General features: G+C 41.0%; 1 protein-coding gene across 8 annotated transcripts in view; it reads right to left on the bottom strand.

The window, feature by feature from the left end:
* Positions 1-3,263: 3,263 nt before the first annotated feature.
* The window catches only part of QTRT2 (queuine tRNA-ribosyltransferase accessory subunit 2), a 31,686-nt gene continuing 14,463 nt past the window's right edge, over positions 3,264-20,486 (bottom strand). For 7 of the 8 annotated variants that reach the window (NM_024638.4, NM_001256835.2, NM_001256837.2 and 4 more), the window contains 4 exons: positions 14,744-14,943; positions 11,629-11,780; positions 8,892-9,009; positions 3,264-6,013 (listed from right to left, as the gene is read on the bottom strand). In NM_024638.4, the coding sequence (NP_078914.1) occupies positions 5,782-6,013; positions 8,892-9,009; positions 11,629-11,780; positions 14,744-14,943 (702 nt within the window). In that variant the 3' untranslated portion in view covers positions 3,264-5,781. Of the gene's footprint in view, positions 6,014-8,891; positions 9,134-11,628; positions 11,781-14,743; positions 14,944-20,486 lie in introns of those variants that run through there. The other variant, XM_047448934.1, reaches the window with a different exon arrangement.

The following is a 20,486-nucleotide window of genomic DNA, read 5'->3' as shown; positions in this document are numbered from 1 at the left end:
TATGTTTAAATCCCAACCCCAATGTGATGGTATTCAGAGGTGGGGCCTTTGGAAGGTAATTTAGATCATGAGGGTGGAGTCCTCATGAGTGGGATTAGTGCCCTTATAAAAGAGACTCCAGGGTGCTCTCTACCCTTCTTTCCACCATGTGGAGACATGGAAAGACAAGAGCAGTCTGCGACCAGGGAGAGGGCCCCTACTAGAATTCAACCATGCTGGCTCCCTCATCTCAGACTTCCAGCCTCCAGAACTGTGAAAAATAAATTTCTTCTGTTTTAAGCCACCCAGTCTATGGTATTTTGTTATAGCAGCTTGAACTAAGACACTCCCAAGAGGAAAGACACAGCCAACTGCTAGTCTTTCTTCTCTAGGCTTAAAATTTCTCATCCATAAAATAGGTTAAATAAGATCCTGAATACCTTCCCTTTCGGCAGAGTTAGAATGGTTCTAGGAGTTATCTGGGGATCCTGCAATGGAGATGGGACAACATGGGCTCTCTTTTTTGTTGTTATTTTTGAGACAGAGTCTCACTCTGTTGCCCAGGCCAGAGTGCAGTGGCACGATGTTGGCTCACTGCAACCTCCACCTCTTGGGTTCAAGTGATTTTCCAACCTCAGCCTCCCGAGTAGCTGGGACTACAAGCACGTGCCATCACACCCGGCTAATTTTTGTATTTTTAGTAGAGACAGGATTTTGCCACATTGGCCAGGCTGGTCTCAAACTCCTGACCTCAGGTGATCCACCCACCTTGGCCTCCCAAAGTGCTGGGATTATAGGCATGAGCCAGCGCACGGGGCGCCAACTGTTAATCTTTCTTCTCCAGGCTTAAAATTCCTCCTGCATAAAATAGGTTGAATAAGATGCTGCATACCTTCCCTTCTGGCAGATTTAGAATGGTTCTGGGAGTTATCTGGTGACCCTGCAAAGGAGATGGGACAACATGGGCTCTCTTAATGTGGGAATCTAAACAGCTGCAGGAACTAGAAACTACAGGTATGTTTTCTGTATATTGCAATCAGTTGTTGAGAAATTTTTAAATGCTAAAGATACCAAAGCCCTTCTTCCAGATTTTAAGCTAGAGGTTGCAAACTAGGCACCCCCATGTTTTGTTTGGCTAGCAGAATATTGTTTAAAAATTGACCCAGCATTTAAAAATTGTGAAATTTCACCTGAAAATCCAGATTTTTGGCTTCTCCTGAAAGACTGAAATATCTGGCAGCACCGGAGCCACAGCAGCAATTAGCTGGAGGTGGGTATCAGCTGTCCCATTTAGCTGGAACACCTGTTCTCTAGTTTGATCATCTCTACCCCTCACATTAGGGTGACCATTTAACTTGGCCAGCACTTTTGAGAATAAAAGGTGGTGGAGGCGGGGGCAGGATGCTGTGTATTTATACCTGAACTAGGGGCATGAAGCAGGATTTTCGGGAGGAAGAGTGCACGATTATGCTAATTCACATTGCTTACACTGGCTTGTTTCATTCTTTGCCCACTGTTATTTGGGTTTTGTGCTCACAAATCAGGGAACCTCGTGAAGAAGCAAGGAAAGAAAAGGTGTAAATTACTAAGAGACACAAAGGTTGAAAAGAAAGTGAAGAGATTAAAAAGGATATTTAAATGAATGCCAATTATACCAAACTTTTAGGTAAAGGCAGAGCCTTGCTGGTGGCTGGCTCAGCATGGAAGTTTGACCTTCCAGGCTCCCTGCCCTACACAGCACTGTCAGTTTTAATAAGCTATAATCCCATAGTTACAAGCAAGACTAATCAAACTGCAGAGAGCAGCCTGTTCCTAATCAGGAAGGCACAGGGTAATCATTTAACTCTGTGGTTTCTTACTGAGCTCCAAGCTGCCTCTACAGAAAAAACACCCTGGATAAGATAGTTGCTTTCCATTCTAGCCTTGACCCTTTGATGGTCTTTGTTTGAAATTTTTATTAAAATGCTGTCATTACTCAAGTATTTGCTTAAAAAATGTTTTAGAATATTTTCCCTTTATTCCAAGGAGTAACAAAATAAACCTCCCCCAAAAGATATAAGAAACCTCAGACTCCAGTTGATTACCTGAATCCACTTGAACTAATCACAGTACCCAAACATTTCAACGCCATTCAGGGTGTGGTTACAGTCCCAAACTGGGAAGGGGGGAGAAATTTGAGGATGTGGAATGGCAACCCATGTTGAGCACCTACAAATACCAGCATGGTACCACGGGACGTGTGCTAGTGCTAGCTATTCCCTACTGGAAAAGCTGAAGCCAAGGCCAAGTTGCAGCAAAGTTCCTAAAGCACCCAATACCCCAAGGCCAGGAGGCCCCTCTCTGCAGTCCCTGATTCTCTTAGCCCCCTCAAACCAGAAGCAAGTCAAAATTAAGAATTTATTTAGTACAGTGGATAACTGTGGAGCTAGAGTCTACCTGGGAGCTGAGTAGTGGTAGGCCCTTAGGCAAACTATTTCTTTCCTGAAATATCTGGTAGGCACTCAGGCAGGCTACTCAACCCTCTTAAAATTCAGTTCTTAAATAGCTGGCTTCAGCTTTTCCTGTAGGGAATAACTAGCACTAGCACATATAGCCCATAGGACAATAGCAACACCTCACAGCCATGCTCTAACAGTCAATAGTTATATATGAAAAGCATTTACCAAGATGCCTGGCACATTTAAAATACTCCATATTGTGATTATTATTTTTATTATGTGCTAGCATGGCCTTAAGGCTCATAATTACATAACTTAAAGAGGTAAGTGATATGGCTTGGATGTTTGTCCCCTCCAAATCTCATGGTGAAATGTAATCCCCAGTGTTGAAGGTGGGGCCTGGTGGGAGGTATCTGGGTACACCCCTCATGAATGGCTTAACACTATCTCCTTGGTGATGAGTGCATTCTCCCTCAGTTCACATGAGATCTGGTTGTTTGAGTCTGGGACCTCCTCATTCTCTCACCATGTGATACACCAGCTTCCCCTTTGCCTGCCACCACAATTGTAAGCTTCCTGAAGCCCTCACCAGGAGCAGATGCTGGTGCCATGCTTCCTATACAGCCTGTAGAACTGTAAGCCAACTAAACCTCTTTCCCTTATAAATTACCCAGCCTCTGGTATTTCTTTATAGAAACACAAGAACAGATTAATAAAGATAGATAAGGGAATCTTCATAATGTATATAATTAAATATCTTTTTGGATTTTACATTTATCATGGAAGCTCTCAAAACAATGAATACAGATAAACATTTTTTTCTTCCAATGAGAAATCTCTACAACATTTCTGGTACTATGGAAATTTAATATTTTGTTTAACAGACCTACTACATTTACAGAAAGCCAAACACAGTAAATTTTTAAAATTAAAAATGTTTTATTGGCTATTGCCTTTAATAGATTTACTACAATAAAGGAAAGGAATATTTTTCTCAAATGTGCTAATAAGAAAAAGACCCAGGAAACTGAACGATATTGGACACAGTTTTCAGTGTTTTAGACATAAATAAACTCATGAATTTCATATGGATTCTGGAATATTTACCACTACTCCCCTAACGATGCATTTAGCATAGAACAAAAATATGAACATTTGAACAAGTCCAATCTAACACATTTCAAAACAATCAGATCTTTGGAAAACTGTTTTCCATAAGTACCCCTTGCCATTCATGGAAGAGTTATGAGGATGCCCATGAATTTATTCATGGACACTCCCATACTAAGAAAAAGAAAACCATGTAGATGGGTAATATAATTTGACTATTTGTTCCCGCCCAAACCTCAAGTTGAAATGTAATCCCCAATACTGGAGGTGGGGCCTGGTGGGAGGTGTTTGGAGCACAAAGGTGGATCCCTCATGAATGGCCTGGGCCATCCCCTTGGTGATAAGTGACTTCTTGCTCTGAGTCTTGTTCCTGCTTTTGTCATGTGATGTGCCTGCTCCCCCTTCACCTTCTGTCATGACTATAAGCTTCCGGAGGCCTCCCCAGAAACCAAGCAGATGCCAGTACCATGCTTCCTGTAAAGCCTGCAGAGCCATGAGCCAATTAAACCTCTTTTCTTTACAGATTACCCAGTCTTGTGGATCATGAGGTCAGGAGATCGAGACCATCCTGGCTCATACGGTGAAACCCCATCTCTACTAAAAATATAAAAAATTAGCCAGGCATGGTGGCGGGCGCCTGTAGTCCCAGCTACTCGGGAGGCTGAGGCAGGAGAATGGCATGAACCCAGGAGGTGGAGGTTGCATAGAGCCGAGATCGCGCCACTGCACTCCAGCCTGGGCGACAGAGCAAGGCTCCGTCTCAAAAAAAACCCCAAAAAACCAAAAAACCAAATTACCCAGTCTCAGGTATTTCTTTATAGCAATCCAAGAACGGCCTAATACAATGGGCTCCCAACACATAAAACATACAGCAGCCACAAAATAATTAGAAACAATGTTAAGTAATGCCCACTAAATTTTGAATAGCAAAATATAGCATAGAAGTATAAAACAAATGTATTTCTTATCCCTACAAAAAAAGGGGCATCTTTTTGGTTTTGTTATTGCTGTTTGTATAAAAACTATGGTGTGTGCATGTGGGTGTATGTGTATTCCTTATAGAAAACTTGAAAAATACAGAGGTAACTTAGAAAGAATTACCTTCCCCTACCAGCCTCAGGATCTCCTGATACCAATTCAATAACCACTTAAAAACCCACAGGCCAAACCTCTCTTTAGGCTCTCAAATATCTCTACTGTTGCCTGTCTCCCAGGATGACAACTAGGGCTATTAAGGCTATGACTCTAATCTAAAACTTTTTGTTCTTCCAATTTTAGAGCTAGACAGTATCTTAAAAGTTCATTCATTCCTATCCATTATGCCTGTCCCTATTTATTCAGCAGGAAGCAGCCATGGAGAAGTTAAGTGAATTGCCCAGGAGTCATATCTGAGCAGGATGGAGACTAACCCTCTAATCGTTAGGCCAGGCAGGGCTCTGTCCAAGTGAACACATTGAGAATGAATCTTCACAAGAGATAGGTCTTCAGTTATTACGTAGTTAGACTATTAATGAGCCTGGAAGGCAGACCACAATGGATCTGTACAACCAGAAGAAAGCAGCTGGGCAAACTTCTGGCTCCTAACAGGCAATTACATTGGCTCTAAAAAGAAGTTGCAAATAGGCCATGTGGTCAAATGAAGGAGTGTGACCTGGGACAGATGATCATCACAGGAGCAATGTTCAAGCCCCACATTCCAGGGATATCCAAGCCCAGTTAAGTCACAAGAGCCATTTCTGATTGGCTGCACTGCCAGGGCAGGGTGGAAGACAAAAGTATCCAGAAGAGTCTCCTGAGAGTATGAGGGTGAACTAAAGGAAACCCTCAAACCAGCCAGATTTCTTCTCAAATCAACAGGCATATGTCCAGAGCCCATTCGTCTCACACCATTTCCCCTCAAGCCTCAATCCAATTCATGGGTCCCTCAGAATCTCATCACTCCCACTTCAAGGCTGTGCCCTCACAGTTAAAGCTTTTGTCTTTGACTAAATGAATCTCTATCAACTAAAAGAATTAGTCTAGAAGTCTTAAAGGTCACAGTTCAATTCTCTCTGATCAATCCAGGTCATTTAAGTCTTTTGAGGAAATCTCTTCACCCTCATGTGGGCAGTTTGGTACAAAGATTCTTTATTTAAGCAGACCTTATATCCAAATATAAATAATTAAAGCTCAGATTATTTCTTCTTCACGTCTTCCCATGTTACAACAGTGGTACAGGCTCAGTGTGAAGAGTGAGACTTGTATTTGCAAGATCTCAAGATGCTTGCCTGTGGATGAGCTCTTTCAACTGTGCCAGTTTGTCACTTTTTAGTGCTTCCCGGATGTAATGGAAAAACCCAAAGTAGTGTTCAAAGTTGTGCATCATAAGCAGGACTCCGGCCAGCAGCTCATTGGTCACCAGCAGATGGTGGATGTATGCCCGAGTGTGATTCTTACAGCAGTAACAGGAACATCCTCTCACCAGCGGGTTAAAGTCCTCCTGGTACCTAAGAAAGAAGTCACAGTGACATTCCAGAAAGTACGGAATACAAGAAATCCACAACCTCAGCTATCTATTCTGCTGGTAAAGTTACCAGTGGTTAATAACATCACTGGCAAATGTTCAGTGCTGTGCACCTGCTTAAAATGGCAATATGGTTAAAAGTTAACAAAGGGCCGGGTGTGGTGGCTCATGCCTGTAATCCCAGCATTTTGGGAGGCCGGGGCAGGCGGATCACGAGGTCAGGAGTTCAAGACCAGCCTGGCCAATATGGCGAAACCCCGTCTGTACTAAAAATACAAAAATTAGCCAGGCATGGTGGCGCGTGCCTGTAGTCCCAGCTACTCGGGAGGCTGAGGCAGGAGAATCGCTTGAACCCAGGGGGCAGAGGTTGTGGTGAGCCAAGATCGCACCACTGCACTCCAGCCTGGGCAACAGAGCGAGACTCCATCTCAAAAAAGAAAAAAAAAAGTTAACAAAGAACACAATGAGTCAGGGAGACCCTGGAGTTTTTCTCTGACTGATGCAAACTCCGAGTCTGGGGTTACAAAGGAGCATCAGAAGAAATTCATGTGGTCGCTCACTCATGTTGAGTATTACTAATCACATTGTAAAAGCACATAATGTTAGGAAACACTTCTAAGTGTTGGACACTTAGGAGAGAAGTGAGTGACACTTCCTTCCCACTTACCACCAGAATTATTATCAAAAGACATGGTAGACTTCTACTTACACAGCTTTTTGCAGTTTACCAAATACTTTCACATACACTGTCTCATTTAACCTTCACATTCATTCTTGGAGATAACTATTTTTATTGTCATTCTACAGATGAAGATAACTATGGGGGTTGAGAGGGAGGGTCCTGGAGCTACCCTGCATGAATTTGATTCCTGGCTTCACAACTTACTTGGGCAAGTCACTTAACATCTCTCTGTGACTTGTTTCTCATCCATGAACCAAAGGTAATAACAGTGCCTATCTCAGACAGTTGTTACAAAGATGAAATGTATTAGTACAGTTAAAGGACTTGAACACTGCTGGGCACACACTAGGCCTAAGCACTGCATAGGTGTTAACTTTTTTTGAGGGGGGAACAGGGTCTTGTTCTATCACCCAGGCTGGAGTGCAGTGCAGTGGCACAATCATAGCACACTGCAGCCTCGGACTCCTGGGCTCAAGCAACCTCCCACCTCAGCTTCCCACCACGCCCAGATAATCTGTTTTAGAGACAGGATCTTGCTATGTTGTTCAGGCTGGTCTTGAACTCCTGGGCTCAAGTGATCCTCCATCCTCAGCCTCCCAAAGTGCTAGGATTACAGATGTGAGCTACCATGCCTGGCCAGGTGTTACCTTTAATCAACTATTAAAAATAAGTGGATTGAGGTCAGGAGTTCAAGCCCTGCCTGGCCAACATGGTGAAACCCCGTCTCTACTAAAAATACAAAAATTAGCCAGGCATGGTGGTGCATGCCTGTAATCCCAGCTACTTGGGAGGCTGAGGCAGGAGAATCGCCTGAACCCAGGAGGCGGAGGTTGCAGTGAGCCAAGATCGTGCCACTGCACTCTGGCCTGGGCAACAGAGCTACACTCTGCCCCCCACAAAAAAAAAAAAAAAAGAAAAAAGTGAAGAATTGACCAGACCAAAGTCACACAGTCAAGAGCAGTGCTAGAATTTGTCTACAAATCTCAAAAACTTAAGTCTAGTGCTGATAATAATAGTACAATTTCCAATTAAATCTATAACATAAAGGGAATTTTAGTAGTAACCATTTATATTACCCTAAAATTTTAAAAACATAAATAAATCATTTGAGAGTCAGTGGATGACAGAAAAAAAAGGGTAAAAGAAAGACAAAAACAAATCTATCTCCTTGGCTATTTTTTAAGAAGTCAAATGCGGTAGACATCACCATTTCTGACCTACAATTAAAGGAGTCCCAACAGAATATGGGTAAGAACAAGGATTTTCACATTCTTTCATAAACTCTCAAGTCTGTACTATCACTAGATAGACATAAGTAAGTCACAAGCCATAGGATCTTCTTTTACGTAAGACAAAAAACCCACCCCAGCACTAAAGTGAGTGCATCAGACTCAAAGAAAAATCACTCACTGGTTCACTGATGATTACCACTTTTGGACAAATACAAAAATTACAAGATATAGGTTCCGTATTCCTAATCTGAAAATCTAAAATGTGAAATGCTCCAAAATTCAGAACTTTTTGAGCACTAACATGATGCTCAAAGGAACTGCTCATTGGAGGATTTCAGATTTCAGATGAGGGATGTTCAGCCAGGTAAGTATAATGCAAATGTTCTAAAACACAACAACAACAACAACAACAACAACAACAACAACAGCAGCAGCAACAGCAACAACAACAACAGCAACAACAACAACAACAAAGAAAAGAAATCTGAAACACTTCTGGTTCCAAGCATTCTGAAGAAGGGATATTCAATTCAATCTGTATCTTAATTTGTTCTTTATAGAGATAAATATCTTACGTAAGATTTACAGCCTGTATCTAACAAAGATGGCTTAGGCACCCTACAATTTAAAACTTTGTTGTTTTATCTTGAACTCCTTATTATGCTCTAAAGGAATACAAGACGCCAAACAATGGATTTGGTTTAATCTTTCTGTCAGCTTTTCTAAAGCAATCATTACCTGGCTCCAGTCTTCTGACAAGACGAAGTCTACAAATTCATCTGAAGAAAATAAAGAGTTTTTTTGAAATCGAATTTGAGAAGGCCTAAATAATACCCAACTATTAATATTTTATGAAATCATAAATTGAGAATTGTCCCATAAACTTTTAACACAGACTAAAATTCAGAAGTCAGAAAGCAAAATCCAAACTTTTAAAAATTTCTTACTTTTTTTCCTTCAGATTAATTTCAAATGATGTTATTTCTTGGTTGCAACCAGTTGTTTCAATTTTCTTTATTTGATCCATACATTTTATTTCTTCTTGTGTTCCATTTTGTTGTAGTACTGAAGGACAAACCAATAAAAAGGCTTGAATGATGATCAGATAAGAAGTGGCCATTGGAAACATTTTATTTTAGTTATTATTTCATGATCTTTGACTCTGTAATTTCACTCCTGAGAATTTATCCTAAGGAAATCACACAAGAAAAGGAAAACAGCAATATGCTCCAAGACTGTCACCGTCCTCTTATCTACAACACCAAAACAATTTAGAGATTCAATAATATCTAAGCAAATTATAGTTACAAGTATATAACATATAATCGTATCATCAAGAAATAATTTAAAAACATTGGTGGCCAGGCATGATGGCTCATGCCTATAATCCCAAAACTTTGGGAAGCTAAGGCAGGAGAATTGCCTGAGGTCAGGAGTACACCACCAGCCTGGGCAAAATAAATAAACCAAAAGTTAACTGTTGGTTGCGTGTGTGTGTGTGTGTGTGTGTGTGTGTGTGTGTGTGTGTGTGTGTGTGGTGGGGTTATCACTATCCCTTATCATAATGTACATGCAAATATACTTGGCTTTGAACTACCTATATTCCAAATAGATTGAAGTAGAACATGGTTTTAATGTATGTATTCTATATGGAGACACTGGCCCTCTAGGGAACCCAGACTACACAGAATTAAATGGCAACCTGAATTGTTCCCTTCAACTCTCTGCTTTAAGAAGAAACATTCTTTGCACAGCAAAAGAAACACCAGCTACTCTACAAAAAGCCAACTGCCTGGAACAGGGACAAGTAGTTAAGGGGTATTTTGGGAACAAATGATAACAAATCTCAGTGTTGGTCCCAGGAGAAAGACAGGTGGTCTTAAGAGGGTAATTTTATCAAGGTCAAAGGTATAAGAGAAGCAACCTGAGCACTGGGCACAGAGCTGTTATAATTTTGTTCCCATAAATTTGCATGCTGATGTGGGAAACCATAATGAAGCTCTCAGCTGGCCGCAGTGGCTCATGCCTGTAATCCCAGCACTTTGGGAGGCTAAGGCAGGAGGATCGCCTGAGGTCAGGAGTGCACAACCAGCCTGGGCAACACAGCAAGATCCTGTCTTTGCAAAAAATTTAAAAATTAGCCCAGCATGGTGGCATGCACCTGTAGTCCCAGCTACTCGGGAGGCTGAGGTGGGAGGATGGCTTGTGCCCATTAAAGTTAAACAAATTAAACTTTACCAAGCAGTTCAAAGGTTTTCTTATAATTTTCATCACAACTCACTCTGAATGTTCTTTTTTCAGGAGTTCAAGGCTGCAGTGAGCCATAATCACACCACTACACTCCAGCCTGGGCAACAGAGTGAGACCCTATTTCTGAAAAAGAATTTTTTTTAAGCCCTGACACTTCAGAAAACTCTTGTCATTTGGGAGAACTGCTGCCAAGTAATTTCTTTGGAATTTTCACTATGTAACTGGCAAAGGACTTTAATTTACTACACACACAGAGTTAATAATACTTTGTTTAAACATTCAAACTATTTCCTTTTTCCTAATCATGAAGAAATTTGGCTTTCTCTGGCCAAAAATGATCTTGTTCTTTACAGAGAACTCAAATCAGGTTCTTTTTAGAGCTTTGCATATTCCTGGTACTGAATGACTAACAGTTACCTCTGTTCTGGTGGAAATAATTCAGTTTGTAAATGAAGATGTGAAAATTTATAGTGTTAATGGTATACCTATCCACATACATTATATTCTGGTCTGTCTAAAAGGACAGTAAAATTGACCTCCTATATATTTAAGAATTTGATCAACTTGATTTATTTTGTTTCCAGGAGTAATTCCATTTAGATTAATGGTTAAGTTGCTTCATAAAAGTATAACATCTGAATGAAATTTTAGTTACCTGTGAGGAATAAAATGAACCTTTAAGGAAGTTTCTGGTCCTATTCAAATGTAAGGTTGATGTGGTTAAGGAAAAGTTCCAAGGACAGCAGGAAAAGGAAAGGAAAGGTCATTTCTGAAGGCCAGAGGGAAGACTGGGCAGGCGACACTCTCCTGAAAACCTACTTCAAGCAACTCCAGCCCAAAGTCTGTATCCTAGCTCCTTTTCTACCTCCAGGTAAGTGTTAGAATCCGAAACTGACTTTCTTAACTTCTGGATAACTAAATAATAAAAGAAAATGGCAGTCCTTCAAAGCAACATTAGCAAAGGAAAATAGCTTTCAAAGCCTGGTGTATTAAAAAAAAAATGCAAGAAGTAACACTAGGATCAGAGGATCATGAGTCTCCCTGTATTTTAATAGCATAGGGTTTGCAAAGCAAAGACAAAAACTCTTTTGTGAGAAAACAAGTTAACTTTTACCAAGCAGTTCAAAGGTTTTCTTATGATTTTCATCACAATTCACTCTGAATGTTCTTTTTTCAGGCTGTTAACAGAGGAGGTTTTGTTTTTCTTGGTTCTTTTCACTATAAAATCACATCCTAATATTGATGAGCTACATGTATAGTATTAAGTACCTGGATTTGTGTGCCAACATGCCAGAGCACACAGATAAGAAACAGAGATGTAGTTTTGTAAAAGACTGGCTTTATATATACATATTTCTGTCTTGTGACTCAAGCCAAAAATTAACAGGAAATGGAAGAAACTTAAGGATAAGAGATAAACTTCAAAAGACTTACGTGTCTCTTCAGGATTCGGCTGGTAATCAAAACTGAAAGTCAGGGCACATCCCCGCTCTGTTACTTGATAAGGGAAAAAACTCTCAAATAAGTCCACTCCTCTTTCAATACACTCGAGCACCTCATCTGGCCGACTAACACCAGATATGAGCCTGTAAAAGTAAGAATAAGAACAGTGACATGAGGACAATGCAAGGAAGGAAATCAGAAAGTCCTTTTAATGAACAAGGCACTAAAAAAATAGTAATAATGAAAAACACCAATCATGGTTAGAGTGGCAGGCAGTGGACAGCAACATGCAGCAGAAAGAACATATGGCTTTGGAGCCAGAAAAACTGGGGCTTGAATCCTAGCTCTGTCATTTATGTATCTGCTGTGTCACTTTGGAAAGATTACTTAACTTCTCTGAGTTTTAGTTATCTAATCTTAAAAACAAGAGCAAATAATATATACCCCCACAGAATTGTTGTGAGGATTAATGAGATATTTGAAAAAGCACATAGTTTCTTTTTTTTTTTTGAGAGGGAGTCTTACTCTTGTTGCCCAGGCTGGAGTGCAATGGCGCAAACTCGACTCACTGCAACCTGCACCTTCCGGGAGTAATTCTCCTGCCTCAGCCTCCCTAGCAGCTGGGATTATAGGCGCCCGCCACCACGCCCAGCCAATTTTTATATTTTTAGTAGAGATGGGGTTTCACCATGTTGGCCAGGCTGGTCTTGAACTCCTGACCTCAGGTGATCCGCCCACCTTGGCCTCCCAAAGTGCTGGGATTACAGGTGTGAGCCACCACGCCCAGCCCATAGTATAGTTTCTGATCCCAGAGAGAAGTTCAATAAAGGTTAGCTTCCTCTCAACTATCATCCTTCTGAACAACCTCCCTGGTCATAAACTAAACTTTATAGCCCTTTATAGCCTATCTTCTATACACTATATAGATTTTTTAGGAGTGCAAAGCTGTGTGCTTTATTTCTTGCTGAAATATTTTGCTTGTTTTAACTGTATTTTGCCTATAATTTTTCATAATTGGTGCAATAAAGACATTTTAATCCACTATATCCCTCATAAGTTAATTTACAAAGCAACTCTCGCTGTCAGGATTTCACCTCTGGCCATAGGATCTAAGAATCTAGTTGGCTTTCTTTATATTTTCTCCATTAATAAAAAGTCTGCACTGTGGAATAAGATGGTGGTTTCCAAGGTACAGGTTGAGCATCCTTAATCCGAAAATCTGAAATCCAAAATGCTCCAAAATCTGAAACTTTTTGAGCACCAACATGACACTGAAAGGAAATGCTCACTGGAGAATTTTGGATTTTGGACTTTCAAATTAGGGATGCCCAACCAGTACGTACTCTGCAAATATTCCAGGATCTGAAAAAATCCAAAATCTCAAGCACTTCTGGTCCCTAGCATTTTGGATAAAGGATACTCAACTTGTAATAGGTAAGGCATTCTGAGACTATTAATGGCACTCGGCCAGGTTTTGCCACTCCATGAAAACAGATGTGGAGATGTACTAAATCAGGGCTGGCTGGCTGCTGCTCTTTTTTATGTTTGTTTTACTACCTATAGCCCCTTTCTATGAACTGGCACAGAAATGCAAAAAAAAAAAAAAGGCTCATGTAATATTAAATAAGCAGAACTCTTACAAATATATGCTGGTTTTCCTGACTACAGTTTCCTTCAAGTGATGTAATGTTTTAGAACTCCTATCCAACTGAAGCTGGCATTTCTACACACTTATAGAAAGAAAAACAATCCAGCTTTCAAATTCAGTAACAGACATCTGTGAGCACTTAACATGAAGAAGTCCAGAAAATGTCTAGAAATACTGGTGCTGAAGTGTTATGTGCACCAGAGTGAAACAAGTACAGGAGAGGGAGCAATGAACACAAAAGAACTAGGTTAAAATTGGGGATCAAAGGCTGGCTAAGGTGATGGAAATACCTTGTTCTGGGTAGTGTTTACACAAGTGTAGACATGTGAAAATTAATTGAGCTGTATGTAAGATTCACGTGCTTTCCTCCAAGTTGTACTTGGATCTTTAAAAAAGTAGTAAAATCGCGCCTGTAATCCCAGCACTTTGGGGGGCCAAGGCAGGCGGATCACCTGAGGTTGGGAGTTCGAGACCAGCCTGACCAACAAGGAGAAACCCCGTCTCCACTAAAAATACAAAACTAGCCAGGCATGGTGGCGCATGCCTGTAATCCCAGCTACTCAGGAGGCTGAGGCAGGAGAATCACTTGAACCCGGGAGGTGGAGGTTGCAGTGAGCCAAGATCATGCCATTGAACTCCAGCCTGGGCAACAAGAGCAAAACTCCGTCTCAAAAAAAAAAAAAAAAAAAGTAGTAAAATTACACATATTATATACTATCCAACAGCTCTAGAGACTATGGAGCAGCACCCCACAACCAAACTTCTTAATATACATGCAGGAAAAAAGCATGAATATTCACATTAAGATAACAAACCATTAAAAAAAATGTGGGTAGCCTAATACGATATCAGCTGCATTCAGAAACTCAGAATTTGTAGCTTCAAATCTTGCAGATCGTCTTTTCTTATCAGCACAAGGTGAATCCTGCAATTTATGGAAACATAAGAACCAATCCTACTAGTGTTGTCAGTCCCCTCAATTTCAAAAATTGACACCACTCACTACCAGCCTCAAATCTAAGAGCTTCTTAAGTTCTTGTTGGTGGAGCTCATCTTCTCACTAGTCATCCCAGATCTGTCCTCAACTTTCCTCAATTTAAACCAGCATTCCATGTGACTTTACACTTGGTCTCCAGGTACCATATTATAACAACAATATTTGTAATTGGCACAAGAATGAGGGGAAACAGTATAATACTTGCTCTCACTTAGGAGGATCAAATAACATAATTCAAATGGCAATTATCCTCTACTCTACATTCTGAAATCAAGGCCAGGACAGCCTTGATGGAAACTCCCCTTACAGTCTGCCTCAGCACCTCAGCAGACTCAGCCCAGAAAGGACATAAACAAAACATCAAAGGCATGCCTATGCACAGACACTATTTAATATACAATCGGCCAGCACTCCTTCCCTGCATCCCTTGAGGCCAGCCTGTGTCCTAACCGAACACTGGCCTTGGCTTGTCCTCCGGCAGCTCTGCAGTGACTGATGACAGCAAGCGTAGTCTAGCCTCCAGGGTTGTTGGATTTCCTTGAAAACCATCCAGAAGGAAGCCACCCACAGGCCGCTTGGCTGTCTCTCGTGCTGACCTCAGCCTCTCTTCCATCACATCTCCACCTTCAATCACTCCAATGATCACACTCTTCTGAAGAACCTGAGGTAAGAAGGATGATATGTTTTTAACCATTTTCAGTATGAGACCTTTGTTTAAATGAACCTTACATGGAAGTCCAATGTATAGAAGAGACCTCAGTGAAGCTGCTGTAGTTGAAGCATTAAAGGGGATGGTGCTCCCTCCTCCCTAAGAACCTTTAAGGCTCTGAGGAACATACTTTGAAAAACATACTTTACCAATCAGGTAAGAAAAGACTGAGGAAAAAGATGCATTCAACATATGCAGTCTTGTTCTGGCTTAGATTAAATTAGATCAGGTGTGGTGGCTCAGGCCTGTAATCCCAGCACTTTGGGAAGCCGAGGCAGGAGGATCACTTGAGCCCAGGATTTCAAGACCAGCCTGGGCAACATAGCGACACCTGGTCTCTACAAAAAATAAAAAAACAAAATTAGCTGGGCACGGTGGCTTGTGCCTGTAGTCCCATCTATTCGGGAGGCTGAGGTGGGAGGGTGGCTTGAGCCCGGGAGGCGAAGGTTGCAGTAAGCTGAAACTGTGCCACTGCATTCCATCCAGGGTAAGAGAGTGAGACCATGTTTCAAGAAAAATAAGTAAATAAATAAAATGTACACTAAACAGGTTCAAGAGGAAAAGGACAAAATAAGAGTTTTAATTTGTGAAATGACTATCCAGGCCTGCTTTAGACTACCTCCAAGTCTCTTAGCTAGAGATAACTTTAGGAACTTAGAAACTGTTGAGACAACTGACTATCTACTCACAAACCAATAAAATAAAGACCACTACTACACACCATCCATTTTAAAAACAAATTCAATGGACCTAATAGCTAAACATAAAAAATATGGTTATACAAGTTTTAGAAGAATATATTGAGTATTTTTACAATCTTGGGGTAAGGAATGCCTTCCTAAACAAGCTAAAGCTTACAGGAAAAGGTTGACAAGTTTGAGTACAAAAACTTGCCAGGCATGGTGGCTCATGTCTGTAATCCCAGCAGGAGGCCGAGGCAGGTGGATCACTTGAGGTCAGGAGTTCAAGACCAGCCTGGCCAACACTGTGAAACCCCATCTCTACTAAAAATACAAAAATCAGCCGGGTGTGGCAGCATGCACCTGTAGTCCCAGTTACTCGGGAGGCTGAGGTGGGAGAATCGCTTGAGCCGAGGAGGAGGAGGCTGCGCTGAGTGGAGATTGCGCCACTGCACTCCAGCCTAGATGACAGGGCAAGGGTCTGTCTCAAAAAAAAAAAAAAAAAAAAAATCAGTAAAACTTCTCTACTAAAGTATACCATTAACAAAGGCAAAGGAGAACTTACTCTTTGGAGGAATATTTAAATATCTACAGCATAAAATGAGCTCCAACCAATACTCTAAAGAAATGAATGACAACCTCATAGAAATCTAGGTACAATACGTAAATATGAAATTCAAACAAATAAATGTGAATGCCCTATACACGTATGAAGAACTACTAAACCTTGTTAGTAAGGTAATGCAAAATTGGAAACAACGAGATACCATTTTTGCCCATATAATAACAAAAAGGTTAAAACATAGATAACAACATAGTAGAGGTGAAACTGTAAGGGAAATGGTACGTACATAACCTGATAAACACAGAGTAAAAATCATTTCAACGTCTTAGGAAGGAAAGTGGACAGCACTTATTGAAATGTCCAGCTTTTATCTATGGATCCTAAAATTCCACTTCTAACAATCTCTCCTATACTCATTCACATGTGCCAAGGTTTATTTACAAAGATGTTTAGAATAATGAAAAACTGGAAACAACCTAAATGTTTATCCATAGAGTAAAGGCTTACGTAGATCATAATATATACACAGTATGGCTTCCTACGCAGCTGTTTAAAAAGAATGCAGTAGATAATAGCAATATATGCATTTATAGAGAAAGAGTTTCAGGATATTGCTAAATGAAAAACAAGCAAATTGCTGAATATATGATCATACTGATGTAATACAGCCATGTATATCTATGTATTAATTATGTGTATGTAATTGCAAAAAATAAGTTTTGCAAGAAAATACACAAATCAACAATGGCTCTCCAGTAGAAGAAAGGGATGGAGAGGAGGCCTGGAACACTGTGAAGAGAGAATCTCACTCTTTAGTTTAAGCAGGAGGGACATAATCAGACTATTCCTCTAGAAAGAACACTTTGGCTGCCGTGTGAAAAATAAATTAAGGGTGAGTACGATTAAAGAATGGAATAGCAGACAACTTTAATGATCCAGGTGAAAGATGAGATGATCCGGACTAAGGCAGTGGCAGTGTGGATGAAGAGGAAAGATAAAACTTGAAACCTATCAGGAAGTAGGATCAACATAACTTGACTGATTAGTTGTCCAAGGAGAGGATAAAGACAAAGTCTCAAATGACTCCTGGCTCCTGTTTTGCAAGTACAGGTAGATGGTGATAAGAGCAAAAGGCAGGGACTCCTAGAAAAACAGTGGATGAAGCAAGATGATTACTCTGTTCTGTGTGTTCTGAATTTGAGGAATCAGCAGGATGTCCAAATGGCAATCTTAATTCAGCCACTGAACCTAAATGAACCTAAAGATAAGGCTATGTGTGATACAAACATGATTGCCCAGGCTAGAATGGCAGACACTTGGCATGATGCTACCACTCTCTACTCCTGATTCCACAGCAGATGTGACTAACAGATGACTCTCTTCTTGCTGCACCCGACCACCTCGGTTGAAACCATTCGCCATCCCTAACCCAGGTAATATATGGAGAAGAAAAGAAAGCCAAAAACCGAATCTTGGAGAGCTTCAATATTGAAGGGCATTCAGAATAAGAGGAGCCAGTCAATAAGACAGGGAGGGAATCATGGGAAAAGATGTATGCAGAAACACAAAGCAGAGAGTTACATAGGCCTGCCTGCTTATACGACTAGCATGACTATTCGGGAAACTCCCTTTCCTGGGTGTAAGAAGCACGATCATATAATTTATTATCTAAAATGGAAGAATGGGGGGGCACTATTAATAATCATGTCAAGACAATAATAAAGGGTATGGAGAGGGACTACACGTTTGACCAATAAATATGCATAAGTAAGGCCGGGCGCGGTGACTCACATCTATAATCCCAGCATTCGGGGAGGCTGAGGCAGGCGAATGAAAAGGTCAGGGGTTCAAGACCAGCCTGGCCAACACAGTGAAACCCCATCTCTACCAAAAAATACAGAAATTAGCCGGGTGTGGTGGCGTGTGCCTGTAGTCTTAGCTACTGAGGAAGCTGACACAGGAGAATCGCTTGAACCTGGGAGGCAGAGGTTGCAGTGAGCTGAGATCGCACCGCTGCACTCCAGCCTGGGCGACAAGAACAAAACTCCATCTCAAAAAAACAAACAAAACAAAACAAAAAAACCCCCACAAATATGCAGAAGTAATATGAAATGATGAGGCTGACTGCAACAACACAGATGAGGGACTTGAGGCTCATCTGACCTTTCTAATAATCATCTTTGTCACACTCGCTGTCCTGCTTTCTACTTACCCAAACATTACTAGTCCTACAAGGATAATGACTGGCTCAAAACAATTACTAGCAAGCCACCAACACTAACTGCCCAGACACACAGCAATGTCCCCACACCAAACTCTTGTTACATATACTGTGAATTCTATTCAGAATAACTATGTTTCCTCTAATTATTTCATTTATATTAACTTTATTAGCCAAATTATATTTTTATTGCTAAATTCAATATAATGATGTTCCTCAAACTCAATGCGCTTGCCATAGTGGGATGTGATCATCGCTCAGGATTACTCCACATACATGATCTCAAATATTAAAATTCTCTCCTCTGATCACTATCTTCTGTTCCCTCATCTCTACTGTTCTCTGAATCCTTTTCCCACTTAATTAACTCTGCTATCAGTATCCCTGATTTACCACTACAGCTTCATCTTCACCCCATCATAACCATTCACCATCAGCAAACATTTACTGAGGGCTTACAATATGTCAGATGAAACCCATTCGCCATCCCTAACCCAGGTAATATATGGAGAAGAAAAGAAAGCCAACAACCGAATCTTGGAGAGCTTCAATATTGAAGGGCATTCAGAATAAGAGGAACCAGTGAATAAGACAGGGAAGGCATTCTGCTGCATGATGAAGATACCCAACTTATACACAGAAATTGAGCTTAAAGAGGCCACAGTTTAATGAAGACAAATGCATAAAGAAATCATTGAAATACAATATGATTGGGGCTAAAATATAGCTACATACTAATTAAAGGGGTAGCAAAGAATGAATTGAATTCCCTGGAACTATCAGGAACCAGTTCTACAGAATGACACATGGCACTTCGGGAGGCCAAGGTGGGTGGATCACCTGAGATCAGGAGTTCAAGACCAGTCTGACCAACATCGTGAAACCTCGTCTCAGCTAAAAATACAAAAATTAGCCAGGCACGGTGGCGCATGCCTGTAATCCCAGCTACTTGGAGGCTGAGGCAGGAGAATTGCTTGAACCTGGAGTTGGAGGTTGCAGTGAGCCAAGACTGCCCCACTGCACTCTAGCCTGATAGGCTGAGCAATAGAGTGAGACTGTCTCAAAAGAAAAGAAAAAAAAAATGAATGATACATGGAATGAAATGAGCCTCATGTGGAAACAAAAGAGGGAATATAGCTAGAGATAAGAAAAGCAGAAACAAGAAACAGTCCAGAAGGAAATCCGTGTACAGAATGAAACAAGCTAATGCCTCAAGGAATTCCAAGCAACTCAGAAAGGTCAGAGTGCAAGTCACAGGAAAAAGTAGCCCACAGTGAGCTGGAGGAGTAGGTAGAGGCCACATCACAGCAGGCTGTCCATGCCATGTAAGAGTTGAAGTGGAGAGTCATTAAATTCTTTTAGGGAAGTGGGCAAGGAGCTCTTGTTTGTGCTTTACAAAGATCTTTTGGATAACAGGGCTGAAAGATGGATTGGATAAAAATGAGAATGGAGGCAGAGAGAAGAATTCAAAGGTAATTACATACGTAAGAGATGATGCAGTTACGGCTTAAGGTGGCAATAAGGAGGGGAAGATTCTAGACATATTTAGGCAAATGGAATCAAGGAAGAGTGAACAGTGGGATATTAAATGTGAATGAAAAAAAGGAGTCTTGAAAAGCTCAAATTTCTTAGCCAGGCACAGTGGCTCAAGCCTGTAATCCCAGCACTTTGGGAGGCAGAGGCGGGCAGATCATCTAAGGTCAAAAGTTCAAGACCAGCCTGGCTAACATGGTGAAACCCGGTCTCTACTAAAAATACAAAAATTAGCCGGGTGTGATGGTGCATGCCTGTAATATCAGCTATACGGGAGGCTGAGGCTGCAGAATCCCTTGAACCTGGGAGGCAGAGGTTACAGCGAGCTGAGATAGCACCACTGCACTCCAGCCTGGGCAAGAGTGAGACTCAAAAAAGAAAAAGAAAAGCTCAAATTTCTGGGCTGAGGAGCTTGGTGGATGCCATAAATGGAGATAAAGTATTGAGGAAGAGCAAAAGCAAGAACAGGTTTGTGGAGATAAAATGATGAATCCGG

The sequence above is a fragment of the Homo sapiens genome, chromosome 3 (assembly GCF_000001405.40).
Source record: "Homo sapiens chromosome 3, GRCh38.p14 Primary Assembly".
Lineage (NCBI taxonomy): Eukaryota > Metazoa > Chordata > Mammalia > Primates > Hominidae > Homo > Homo sapiens.
Note: the sequence above shows the minus strand (reverse complement) of the source record. Positions and strands in the feature narration are given on the sequence as shown.